The following is a 13,765-nucleotide window of genomic DNA, read 5'->3' on the forward strand; positions in this document are numbered from 1 at the left end:
GACTTTTGTGTTCACATGCACTTTGTTGTCATATAGCTGTCTGGCCTCGCAAAAAAGTGAGGTAAAAGCAAACACTGTTATTAGATGATGCTACTGGACCTGTTACATTAAGAAAGTTATCTTATTTGATTAAAGAGGAAATTGTAACCCCAGAGATATTTGACTGTCCTGTTTGAAATTTGGAATTAATTCGGGAGGGGTAGATGGAAAATTTTTTTTTTTTTTGAGACAGAGTCTCGCTCTTGTCCAGGCTGGAATATAGTGGCATGATTATAGCTCACTGCAAACTTGGACTCCTGGGCTCAAAGGATCCTCCCACCTTGTCTTCCTAACTAGCTGGGATGACAGGCATGCTCTAGCATAACTGGCTTTTTTTTTTTTTTTTTTTTTTTTTAAGACGGAGTCTTGCTCTGTCGCCCAGGCTGGAGTGCAGTGGCATGATCTTGGCTCACTGCAAGCCCTGTCTCCTGGGTTCAAGCGATTCTCCTGCCTCAGCCTCCCGAGTAGCTGGGACTACAGACATCTGCCACCATGCCTGGCTAATTTTTGTATTTTTAGTAGAGATGGGGTTTCACTGTTTTGGCCAAGCTGGTCTCAAACTCCTGACCTCGTGATCCGCCCACCTCGGCCTCCCAAAGTGCTGGGATTACAGGCGTGGGCCACTGGGTCCGGCCGCATGTCTGGCTAATTTTGTAGAGACAGGGCCTCCCTATACTGCCCAGGCTGGTTTCAAGCTCCTGGCTTCAAGGGGTCCTCCTGCCTTGGCCTCCCGAAGTGCTGGGATTACACAGATGTGAGCCACCACGCTCAGTGGGAGATGGATTTTTGAATCAAAGTCATGAGTTAGTTTGACCACAGTTTTTATATCTTGCAAGTTCTCAGAATATTCTATTTTCTGGAATTCTGTGGTGCTAAGATATGTTAACATGTTGCAACCTCTCTGTATGATATTCCTTAAGTAATTCTGTTTTTGATATCTTCTTCAGGGTTTTAAATGTGCATATTAGCTTAGAGGTAAATAAAATAAAGCCAAAAAATTAAGTACCCAGAAGCAGAATTTAAATGACTTTGCAGTTTAATCTCTCCTTTCTTCTTAGAACTTGAAGAAATGATTGGGCTTTGTGTGTGTGTGTGTGTGCACGCGTGCGCGTGTGTGTGTATGTGTGTGTAAAGTGAGAAAATGCATTAGATCCTGGTGAAAATAAAGGTGAGGGGCACTAAACGTCTTTGTTCTACTGGGTAGGCGCTGCCTGGTATAGAGAGCAGGTGGTCCTTTTGTGATGTGACTCTAGGGTCCCCCATAGTGAAGACTTTCACTCATTCATTTATTAAGTAAATATTTATTGAGTTTCTTCTATGTGCTAGCTGTGCTTTTGGTGTGGAGACAAATGGTAGATAAAACTGTATTCCTGGTGGGGTGGTGGCTCAGGCCTGTAATCCTAGCACTTTGGGGTGCTGAGTTGGGCGGCTTGCCTGAGCCCAGGAATTTGAGGCCAGCCTGAGTAACATGTTGAAACCTTGTCTCCACAAAAAACACAAAAATTAGCTGGGCATGGTGGCACATGCCTGTAGTCCCAGCTACTCGGGAGGCTGAGGTGGGAGGATCATGAGCCCAGGAATGAAGGTTGCAGTGAGCTGAGATTGTGCCATTGCAGTCTAGCCTGGGCAACAGAGTGAGACCCCATCTCAAAAAACAAAAACAAAACAACACCCCCCCACCCCACCCCCCCCCCCCGCCAAAACTCACTATAACTGTATTCCTGCCCTTGTGGAGCTTATAATCAGCTGACATGTAAGATAAGTGATAAACAAATATATATGTCAGTTGGTGATAAGTGCTCTGGAGAAGAGTAAAGCAGAGTGAGGTGGATAAGGAGGGTGTGGAATTGGGGATTTATTATTTTACATGAGGTGGTCTTGGGGAGGCCTTGTATAATGTCTACTGTTATCTAAATTGTTCACATAGAGGTTCACATGGCTTACATTTCAGTTTCACCCTGCCTTTTGAAATGTCATTCTGGAAATGGAAACGATGAAACCATGTTAGTCATTTGCTTCTTAGTGTGAAGATGTTTTAGATTTCTTTCTTTTGAGCAAATGTTAATGCAGGATTTGAGGCAATGGATGTCTGGGGGTGGGGATGGGGAGGGATTAGAAGGGATCCAAATGGATGAAGTCGTCTCCTGCTTCTGATTAAGGTCTCCTCTGCCACCCAGGGAGCCCCTCTGCTGACACTCCTTGTACATTATTGTTCCATGGTGTCACTTCTCCCACCCTTTTAGTACATCACTGCCCTATGTCATTGCCTTTTACTCCTGGGAGTGCTAATTGGAGAAAGTGAACTCTGCAATGCTTTCCTCTTAGCTGTTGGGGAGAAATGTACTGTAAAATGAAGGGTACTATTTTTTGTTCTGTTAAGCTTCCTGTTTGGCTTGTCATTTTGCTTTATATTTTCAGAGTGTTACTGTCATGTTGTTGTTATTATTTTTAATGCAGAGCCTAAATGTGGCTCTAGGGATATCTTCGTCTGTGATGGCTCTGACTCCAAACATTCATTCATTCTAAATGGAGAATGATTTTAATTCCCCTCACTCTCCCGGCCCCATTGCCTTAGTAGGGTTCTGTTAGGGTTTAGTAGGGTTCTGTGCTTGCTGGTAGCAGTATCTGCATCACACTTCTAACCTTGCAGCCCTTAGGAAAAAGCTTGCTCCAAATTTAGCTCTGTTGCCTGCCAGGCTCTGGCAGTGATTTTGAGGGTGAGAATCTGTACTTCTTCCTCCTGGATTCTCAGGAATTCCCCTTTGCTTAAGAAGGCACCAGACTTAAGGTTTCTAAGAAATAGTATTTTGTACACATCTATTTTATAGTTTATGTCTATAGACACAAATGGCATACACAGATTTGAATTTGTCTGATGTACTGTTTCTTTTGCTTGGTAGCCTAAGCGTGTTGGCTTCGTGTTGATGAATAATTTTAGGTCTGAGATGAAGAAAGCCAGTAATACAAGTTTGCAGCAATGCAGCTGCTTAAAAATGAGCAAAATATGTCTTGTTAAAGTATCTTTTTTTATTATAAGCAAAACTGTTGGATGTGAGAATTAACCTGAATTGCTAATTCTAAGGTAGAAATATTTCTTTTTTTTTTTTTTCCAGCTTTTGGTTTGGCTTCTGAAGATACAAAGAAAGAGGTCAAGCAGTCTCAGGTACTAATCCCAATGATCAAATCTTTTCCTCCCTTCTAAGATTCATTTGTATTTTCTCTGATAGGAATAGTAATCATTTCATTCTTCAATTGTTATTTTTATTGTTACATAATTCATATAATGTGGTCAACATGGATTTTGAATCCCTAATGCAACCTATAAGATAGACTTGCTTTTTACAAATCCTTTAATATTTAAGGCTGATCCACTTGGTTTTAAAGTTATTTTGAGAAAAAACGTGTTTTGACATAGAGTTGGACATTTTAATAGTCTTGCTTGGATACCATAGTTTTCCCCAGTCTTACCAAATACCTTTTTTTATTTCTTTTTTGCGACGGAGTTTCACTCTGTCGCCCAGGCTGGAGTGCAGTGGCACGATCTCAGATCACTGCAACCTCTGCCTCCTGGGTTCAAGCGATTCTCCTGTCTCAGCCTCCCCAGTAGCTGGGAATACAGGCATGCGCCACCATGCCCGGCTAATTTTTGCGTTTTTAGTGGAGACGGGGTTTCATCATGTTGCCCAGGCTGATCTCAAATTCCTGACCTCAAGTGATCCACCCACCTCAGCCTCCCAAAGTGCTGGGATTACAGGCATGAGCCACCGCACCCGGCCCAGTCTTACCAAATATCTTAACCTTGGGTTTAATTTTCTCAGTCTATGAAAGGATTTTACTATGTCACAGGTGTCACAGAAACCTGATTAGTCTCTCCTTGAAGGTGGCAATGTGTGAGAGGGCATGCTGGGGCCTGGGCGGGAGACCCAAAGGTGACTATGCTACCAGAGAGTCAGAACCAGAAAGCTAGGCCAGGGGACTCGCAGAGAGCAGGCAGTACTTATCCCAATCTCAGAGCTGCTGCTTTTAAATCACTGGTTGTAGTCAGGGAATGTCTCTAAATGTTTACTAGTTGGGCTTTGCACTAGATCAGTTTAGCATGTAAAAAAGGAAACAGTAGTTTAAAATATCAGTTGTTTTTGTCATATTAAAGCTCAGTTGACTATTTTTACCCCACAATTGGTGTAAAAGCATTTTTTTAATAGAATGTTTCTTTATCAACAGGGTGTTTATTATCTGTTTTAACTGTACTATGAGATTCTTACACAGGGGAAATGATAATACTAATTTCTTACGATTTTAGGACCTTTTATGATTAATAAAGCATTTCACACATTTAATTTAATCTTCTTAATGATCCTGTTATTTGTTAAAGCAAATATTCCCATTTACAACAGAGAAAACTTAGCGTCAGGGAAGTTATGTGATTTGACCAAGGTCACATGATTTTTTTTTCTTTTCAACTTGTGTTTTAGGTCAAGGGGTACATGTGCAGGTTTGTTTGTTTGTTTTTCTTTTCAACTTGTGTTTTAGGTCAAGGGGTACATGTGCAGGTTTGTTACATGGGTAGATTGCATGTCATAGGGGTTTGATGGATAGATTATTTTGTCACCTAGGTAAGAAGCATAGTACCCAATAGGTAGTTTTTCAATCCTTGCTCTCCTCCCACCCGCCACTCTCAAATAGACCCCAGTGTCTATTGTTCCCTTATTTGTGTCCATGTGTACACTGTGTTTAGCTCCCACTTATAAGTGAGAACTTGTGGGTTTTCATTTTCTGTTTCTGCATTAATTGGGTTAGGCTAACGGCCTCCAGCTCCATCCATGTTGCTGCAAAGGCCATGTTCTCATTCTTTTTTATGGCTGTGTAGTATTCCATGGTGTATCCATACCACATTTTCTTTATCCAGTCTACTGCTGATGGGCATCTAGGTTGATTCCATGTCTTTGCTATTGTGAATAGTGCTGTGATGAATATATGTGTGCATGTGTCTTTATGGCAGAACAATTTATATTCCTTTGGGTATATACCCAGTAATGAAATTGCTGAGTTGAATGGTAGTTCTATTTTATGTTGTTTGAAAAATCTCTTTCTGCAGTGGCTGAACTAATTTACATTCTCACCAGCCATATGTAAGTGTTCCCTTTTCTCTGCAACCTTGCCAGCATCTGTTATTTTTTGACTTTTTAATAGTAATAGCCATTCTGACTAGTGCGAGATGGTATTTCATTGTGGTTTTGATTTACATTTCCCTAATGATTAGTGATGTTGAGCATTTTTTTCATATGCTTGTTGGCTGCATGTATGTCTTCTTTTGAGAAGTGTCTGTTCACGTCCTTTACCCATTTTTTAAATGGGGTTGTTTTTTGCTTGTTGATTAGCTTACATTCCTTATAGATTCTGGATATTAGCCCTTTGTCAGATGCATAGTTTGCAAATATTTTCTCCCATTCTGTAGGTTATCTGTTTACTCTGTTGATAATTTCTTTTGCTGTGGAGAAGCTCTTTCATTTAATTAGGCCCACTGGTCAAATTTTGTTGTTTTGCAGTTGCTTTTGTAGTCTTCATGAAGTCTTTGCACAGACCAATGCCCAGATGGTATTTCCTATGTTTTCTTGTAGGGCTTTTATAGTTTTAGGTTTTACATGTAAGTCTTTAATTCATCTTGAGTTGATTTTTGTGTGTGGTGTAAGGAAGGGGTCCAGTGTCAATCTTCTGTATATGGCTAGCCAATTATCCCAGCACCATTTATTGAATAGTGAGTCCTTTCCCCATTGCTTGTTTTTGTCAAAGATCAGATGGTTGTAGGTGTGTGGCTTTATTTCTGGGTTCTCTAACCTGTTCCATTGGTCTATGTGTCTGTTTCTGTAGAAGTACCATGCTGTTTGGTTACTGTAGCCTTGAAATATAGTTTGAAGTCAGGTAATATGATGCCTCCAGCTTTGTTTCTTTGGCTTAGGATTGCTTTGGCTACTTGGGCTCTTTTTGTTTCCAAATGAATTTTAGAATTTTTTTTCTAATTCTATGAAAAATGTCATTGGTAGTTTGATAGAAATAACATTGAATCTGTAAATTGCTTTGGGCAATATGGCCATTTTAACAATATTTATTCTTCCTATTCATGAACAAGGAATGTTTTTCCATTTGTTTTGTTGTCTCTGATTTTTTTCAGCAGTGTTTTGTAATGCTCACAGAGATCTTTTACTTCCCTGGTTAGCTGTATTCCTAGGTGTTTTATTCTTTTTGTGGCTACTTTTTTTTTTTTTTTTTTTGAGATGGAGTCTCACTCTTATCACCCAGGCTAGCATGCAGTGGCGTGATCTCAGCTCACTACAACCTCCGCCTCCTGGATTCAAGCGATTCTCCTGCCTCAGCCTCCCGAGTAGCTGGGATTATAGGCGCCTGCCACCACATCTGACTAATTTCTGTATTTTTAGTAGAGAATTTCACTATGTTGCTCAGGCTGGTCTCAGACTCCTGACCACCAGTGATCCGCCTGCCTCAGCCTCCCAAAGTGCTGGGATTACAGGTGTGAGCCACCACGCCGGGCCTTTTTGTGAATGGGATTGCTTTCTTAATTTGCTGTCAGCGTGGATGTTATTTGTGTATGGAAATGCTACTGATTTTTGCACATTGATTTTGTATCCTGAAACTTTGCTGAAGATTATTAGAGATCTTTTCTAGGTATAGTATCTTACTGTCTGTGAAGAGAGACACTTTGACTTCCTCTTTTCCTGTTTGGATGCCTTTATTTCTTTATCTTCTCTGATTGCTCTGGCTAGACTTCCAATACTATATTGAATAGGAGTGGTGAGAGTGGGCATCCTTGTCTTGTTCCTGTTTTCAAGGGGAAAGCTTCCAGCTTTTACCCATTCCGTATGATGTTAGCTATGGGTTTGTCATAGACGGCTTTTATTATTTTGAGGTGTGTACCTTTGATGCCTAATTTGTTGATAGTTTTTAACATGAAAGGATGCTGAATTTTATCAGAAGCCCTTTTTTTTTTTTTGCTTCTATTCAGGTGATCATGTGGTTTTTGAAAAAGCCCTGGACAGATAGATTCATAGCCAAATTCTACCAGATGTGTAAAGCGCTGGTTCCAGTCCTAGTGAAACCCTTCCAAAAAATTGAGGAAGAGGGACTGCTCCCTAACTCATTCTGTGAGGCCAGTATCATTCTGATACCAAAACCTGGCAGAGACACAACAAAAAAAGAAAACGTCAGGCCAGTATCCCTGATGAACATAGATGTAAAAATCTTCAACAAAAACGCTAGCAAACCAAATTCAGCAGCACATCAAAAGCTAATCCACCACAGTTAAGTAGGCTTTATTCTTAGGAGGCAAGGTTGGTTCATCATAAGCAAATCAATAAATGCGATTCATCACCTAAACACGTGATTATTAAAAAGTAAAGTTAGAATCCAAATTTTCTGAATCATTGAATATTTCTCACTTTACTGTTTTATATTACACAGCCCTGTGCATTATGATGTGTGTATTTGGCAATAATGAGGATCATTTGTGACACATTTAAAGTGCTACCTAATCCTGTGGTAGCACTCAAAGTCCTTGTGACTTTGAGCTCTGAATGACAGGCATAAGGTTAACACTGGTCACGAGAACCAAAGTGTTGAAGTTCATCTCTTCTCCACCACTAGCCAGTTGTGGGGCTTAGTGAACCTCGCTGTGCTCAGCCTCCTCATCTGTAAGATGGGGTAGTAGGACCTACCTCACAGGGCTGTTTTGAAGATTAAGTGTGCCTGTTTATAGCTTAGAACAATGCCAGGTCCTGTTTAAACGTTTACCTGATAAGACAAGAACAATTCCTATAAGCAGCCTTTTAAGAGGTTGCATAAGCCATCTTTCCTACCTGAACAAATCAAAGTAAAGAGGAACTGCTTTTGTCTGTTACATTTGTTTTATGGAGGTAGTTGACTTCATATGAAGTAGTTGATGATAATGATGAAAAAAGGGTAGGTGCCAATATTATTGAGCATTTGCTTTGTGCAGACCCTGTGCTCAGCATTTTACTATCTTGTTCAACCTACAACACAATCCTGTGAAGTGGGTCTTGTCATTATTATTCCTATTCCAGTTGAAACAGGCCTGAGCTAGTTGGTGGTGCAGGCAGAATTAGAGCCCAGGGCCGACTGAGTGTAATCATGAACACATCTCATTATTTTATTCAGAATCTCTAGGGCAGTGGTGGGTACTTGTGACTGGGTGGAAGATTCCATTTTACTTCTCTTCCCTTTAAAAGATTCCATATAAAATTCTTTCGAGGGTGTCATATCTTCTTTTAATGAAGGACTTATGAACTAAGCATTACATGTATGGATTGCAAGTGTTGTTCAAATCTTTTGTGACTTAAAAAATAAAACCTGTGTCAAAGGGTGACTTTAATGTGCCTTTTCCTGGCTAGCATAGGAGCTTTCTGTGGGGTAGAGATTAATGGCAAATCTCTTTCGTATCTGAATAGCAATTCAGTTGACTTATAAAACCTTGACAGTGAGCACATTTTGATTGATATTGATAGCGTAAGAAACATCTGGTAGCAGAAATAATAAAACAAACCATGTGTTTCCTTCATTTTAGGAAGAACTAAGTCTTTTCACAAGGGAAGCTGGAGACAGAATTTTAATTGTTCTGTTAATTTAGTCTAATTTTCTTTCTCACAGGGGAAATTAGTCAAGACCATTTTGGTTCCATCTCAATTCACCTTATTCAACTGTTTCTTGCATATTTGATTTTTACAGTTTACAAATTGAACCCCTTGAAATGGCTAATCATTTCCTAGCTATTGTGTCAGTCAACAGAGCTGCTGTGTTTAATGGCAAAGAGAAAGATGTATCATTTTTGTTGCTATTCTTTGATTTCACAAAGATAGCTATCTGATGGAAAGTCCAGTTGGCTTTTCAGCTTCAGTTGCTTAGTCTAGAACTGTAGCATTCTGGATATTTTTCATCTTTTAACTTGTTGATGAAGGTGACTTTTGCTTTCTATATTATTTTTTAGCTCACTCTCAAAATCTATTCACATCTAATGATGTGTATTTTTTAAAGCATGCTTCCCGAGGAAGGCTGGGCAGGCGTTATCATGGCGGTGTGAGGAAGAGCATTGGGACCGAGTTAGGAGACCTGGTTTGTAATTCTGGTTCTGTGGCCAGAATGACTGCTGGACCTTGGGAAAATGATTTATCTTTTCTGAGCCTCTGTTATCTCATTTGCAAAAGGGGAGTGTTGGGTTGAATCATCTCCAATGCTGTTTTTAGATCTAACAATTCTATTTTTCCAGGAGCCTCAGCTGGCAGCCAAAGCTGTGGCATCCAGAAGGCAGCTTGGCCTGGGGCAAGTGGTGGGTTGCCAGTGGAGCCAAATGGCTCCTCTGGAGCTGAGGCTGGCCCCTTCCCTGAGGGCAGGTTGTCTTCCTGGTCAAGAGTGGCATTTAGAGTAAGTCTGCGCATGCTGACTTACGGTGATAACCTGGCTTTGGTTCAGTGCATTCAGGGAACTGGATTGAACTTTCCAGTCTTTTTTAGTAATTTCTTCCAGATCTACCTGTTTCATCAGGATTAAGTTAGGTGTCACTTGATCCATCGTGAGAGTTAACAAATCAGCATATAACTATAGGTTCTCCTCTACTCAGTGGCATTTCTAGTCTCGAGACAAAGATAATTTCAGAATATGCCACTAAAGGTAGTCCCTCCCCTGTGTTTAGCTCTCTCTTCCCCGAGTGTTGTCATGGTCCCTTTGGTATTCTTAGAGGATGCATCTCTGTGGATACGTCTCTTGGCTTTTAAGCCGCTCCCAATTTTGTTGGTAAGGGCTCACGACCACATTTCTTGTTGCAGTCTGTGAAGAAAATTGAAGGATATTTGCCACCATCCCGTTGTCATAATTATAGCATATGACTGTTGAAAGCAAGAAAGGGCAATTAGGGAGAAAATTCCTTCTTAGTCTGCAGAGAAGACAATGAAAATGGCACATTTAGCTGCTGACACTTTGCACTTTGCCAGATAAATCTTTTGAGAGTTCCTCCGTTGATTTACACAGAGTCGAGGTCAGGTATTTCTGTGCCCACATCCAGATTTCTGTGTCTGGAGCTCTCCAGCTCTTAAGGTGCCCCTTCTGTGCTCCTGATTTTTTTTTTTTTTTTTTTTTTGATATGGAGTCTTGCTCTGTTGCCCAGGCTGGAATGCAGTGACACGATCTCAGCTCACTGCAACCTCCGCCTCCTGGGTTCAAGCGATTGTCCTGCCTCAGCCTCCTGATTAGCTGGGACTACAGGCGCCTGCCATCATGCCCGGCTAACTTTTGTATTTTTAGTAGCGGTGGGGTTTTCCGTATTGGCCAGGCTGGTCTTGAACTCCTGACCTTGTGATCCACCTGCCTCGACCTCCCAAAGTGCTGGGGTTACAGGTATGAGCCACCGCACCCGGCCTCTGTGCTCCTGAATTCTGGTGACCACCATAGGCTGGCCTCTGAGGCCCTTTGCAGGCCCCTAGGACTACTCCTCAGGTTGGAGAGAACATTGTGGTAACATTCTTGAAGATAGCATGACTGCACCCAAAAGATGATAAAGTGCAATAATTAGTAGAACTTATCTTCATGAGGAGCACCCTGCCAGGTTCGAGACTATCCTCTGATATGTTCCTAATGCTTTATGGTTTACAGGGCTTTAAAAATGGACCCTCCTGAGAATATCATGAACCAGTTAAACATTCACTGCATCTTACACAATAGGAAAGAGCTTCAGCTCAATCAATTGACTTGCCCAAGATCACATGAGAAGGGCACAGCCCCAACTAAGAAGTCTGTCATGATACAGAAGTACATCATTGCTCCGTGGTCCCTTAGGTTTCGGTCTCATTTCTTTAGGGAAGCGTTTCCAAGCTCCGTTTTTCAAATCTTCCTCCCATGTGCTGATACATACCATGCACCATGCATGTTTACTCAGTGTACTGCTGGCTTTGTTATGTACTGAGATTCATCTTTTTCTCTTTCATTTAAAATACAGGATTTGGAGAAAAGTGGTATATCAAGGAAAAATGACATAGGTAAGTAATGATTTTTTTTACCTAAGAGTGTGTACTTAGGTATATTTTGTATGAATTATATTTCCATGAAGTGATTTTTTTCTGATTTTATTTATGGGGTAAATATTGTTGTTCAAATATTCTGTCTTTGGCCCAGCCTAACGTTTGCTCTCCTGAAGATGTGGGGCAAACACCTCTCAGATGGGCATGTTGGCATGTGGTGGATTTATGTTTACTTAGTGAGATATGTTGGATTTAATTCCCTCTGGCATCATTCATTGAGCTTCCAGTAAGGATAAAGCACCATGCCTGGTGGGCTCTCTGGGGGAATGCAGAGGGGAAGGAGACATGGTCCCTGTTATTAAGGACCCACATGATGTGGGAGAACAGAACAAGCTGTGACATTAGCGCAGGCCGTCCGGGAGCAGGCTGTCCACTTGCTGACCTGCAGACACCTCCATGCCTTTCAGGAGTCAGCTCACCAGTCACGTCTGCCAAACTTGTCCCGAGCATCCTGGCCTGGAAGCCGTTACTCCTTCCTTTGTAAGGCATCATACTTCTATCATTGCCCATTCCTTATTTGTACTCCTTTTGAAACACCCTCTCCGCCATAGTTTGTAAGTATCTTCAGAAATGTGACCAGGAGTTAGACTTTAAAAAAAAATTAATGGGAAGCATGCCCAGTGTGTAAGGCCACACCTCTGTGTGTAGGGGTGAGTTTGTCCTTGAAGGGTGTGAATTTTGTCAATGTCTTTCCTCCCAGGGTAGGAGGAATGACCCAAGTCTGGAACACAATCAGCCAGGACCTGGACACCAGTAGCAGTGGAACCTCACAGGAAGCCTATGGTGTCAGGGGGTATGCGGTCCATGGGAGAAGTCTCCCTTCAGACACAGGGGGTTGGCTCACCTCCAGTTTCATGATGGATAAGCCTGGGTTCCAGGAAACAAGAAGGGAACAATATGCTCTTCTTGCTTCCTCTCCACTATTTTCCATGGAGACCTGGAAGGCGAGCTCTAGATAAGAGGGAAAAGGATAAAGGAAAGTGTTCCTTTCTAGGCCTTCCCTTCCTGGGCCTGGGTTCTGAGGGGTGCAGAAGTTCAGGAGAGACCCCCGCCCCCGGGTGGAAGTGGGAGGATGACCTGTCTTGGGCACGCATATCTAGGGCCCACAGGGGAGTGTTTTGGGGTCTGCGAGCAGCTGTATTTAAGGAACCACGTCAATTTGTTGCTTTTTCTTTCTATTATAACACCCTGTATGGTTTAGCCACGCCTTTCCATGTGGAGATTTTCTTCCCTGCTACCAACTCTGTGGCTTTGAGCATTTATTTGTAGTTTATGGGAGCAGATGAGTCTCTGGTTATTAAATGAATTAATGATGCAAGTCTGGAACATGGGCTTGAAACTACAAAGGGGAAGTTACCTTGGACAAGTAAATTTATATTCTTGCAATTGCACATGGCAAGTCGAGTGATACCTAACTTGGTATCAGTTCATCTGAAAAAGACCCAGGGGACTTCTTTGTCACAATCTTTGTGTGAGCCTGCAAGACCAGGAGGCTACTAAAGATCCTGGGCAGTTGCAGTGACAACAGTAGATTCAGGGCACCGAGAGCATGGCTCACAGTCAGAGCTGGGAGATAGCCTCCATGCACGGGATGCTGTTTCTCCTTCAGCTTGCTGCCTAATTGATAGATTCACTAGTATATGATTATTCTCACCAAGTAAACATAATTGGAGTGGCCCGCTTTGTGTGTGTGTGTTTGTGGGTGTGTGTGTATGCATGCATATTTTTTCCTCAACTTTAAATCATAAGGCTGCTTGTTACAGCTTATATCAGAAGTACATCGTATTGGTTTTTCATCAGAAAAACACCAGCATGATGAAACCCATTTTTCTAGGTAATTTCTGACCAGGAAGATGAGCACTTTACAGTACAGTGCTTGGCCCATGGTAGGTGCTCAGCAACTGAAGACATAGAGAGCATTGGTTTCTTCTGCTTTCATAGAAGAATCATTGCTCTTCAGCATCCATTTTCTAACTATCTCTCTGTCCTGCTGCCTTTCCTGAGCACTGTCTGCCACTCACCATTGGCTTTGGCATTGCATTGGCCCTTTAGGTATCCTTTGCTAATTTCTTTATCTTCCCCTTTTAGCCTGTCACTCTGATTATTATTGTCAGGCACTTAGTGTGCGGCCCATTTATTGCCCATTCCTGGGGGAGAAACAATGACAATCCATCTTGAGTTGTGACAGTGTTTGCTGAAGGCAGATTGCAGTGAGTTTAAAGAAGTGCAACCAAGATGATAAGGAAATCATGGAATTGTCTTATTTAGCTCTGTGGACTGGGCAGCAGGAGCTTAAGAGTCAGGTGGTTGGATGGCATACACAGAGAAGACAGCTACCAAGATAAGCTCTGGGATCTGGACTCAGCCAGAATGTGATTCAGTGAAGGGATGGCTTAGGCTGTATGTCAGAAAATATTTCTTGGTACTGCTATAAAGAACAGCAGGAATTTAAACACATAAGCTGTTTTCAGCACCGAACTGTACTAACTATACTAACCTGGTTCTTTTCTGGAATGGGTTGGGGCTGACTAGCATGTCAGTGATCTTCCGGCATTCATTATGATCAGGGTTGCAGGAGCTCCCCTCCCCTTTAGCCTTGTCCTCGATAATACCCCCATGCGTCCTGTTCC

General features: G+C 41.9%; 1 protein-coding gene across 6 annotated transcripts in view; it reads left to right on the plus strand.

Annotated features, from left to right (window-relative positions):
* Positions 1–13,765, plus strand: part of B3GLCT (beta 3-glucosyltransferase) — a 132,302-nt gene that overhangs the window by 11,924 nt on the left and 106,613 nt on the right. For 4 of the 6 annotated variants that reach the window (NM_194318.4, XM_011534936.2, XM_047430111.1 and 1 more), the window contains exons 2-3: positions 3,153–3,202; positions 11,054–11,093. In NM_194318.4, the coding sequence (NP_919299.3) occupies positions 3,153–3,202; positions 11,054–11,093 (90 nt within the window). Of the gene's footprint in view, positions 1–3,152; positions 3,203–11,053; positions 11,094–11,599; positions 11,616–11,835; positions 11,929–13,765 lie in introns of those variants that run through there. The other 2 variants (XM_047430110.1, XM_011534938.3) reach the window with 2 other exon arrangements.

Source organism: Homo sapiens, chromosome 13 (genome assembly GCF_000001405.40).
Source record: "Homo sapiens chromosome 13, GRCh38.p14 Primary Assembly".
NCBI lineage: Eukaryota > Metazoa > Chordata > Mammalia > Primates > Hominidae > Homo > Homo sapiens.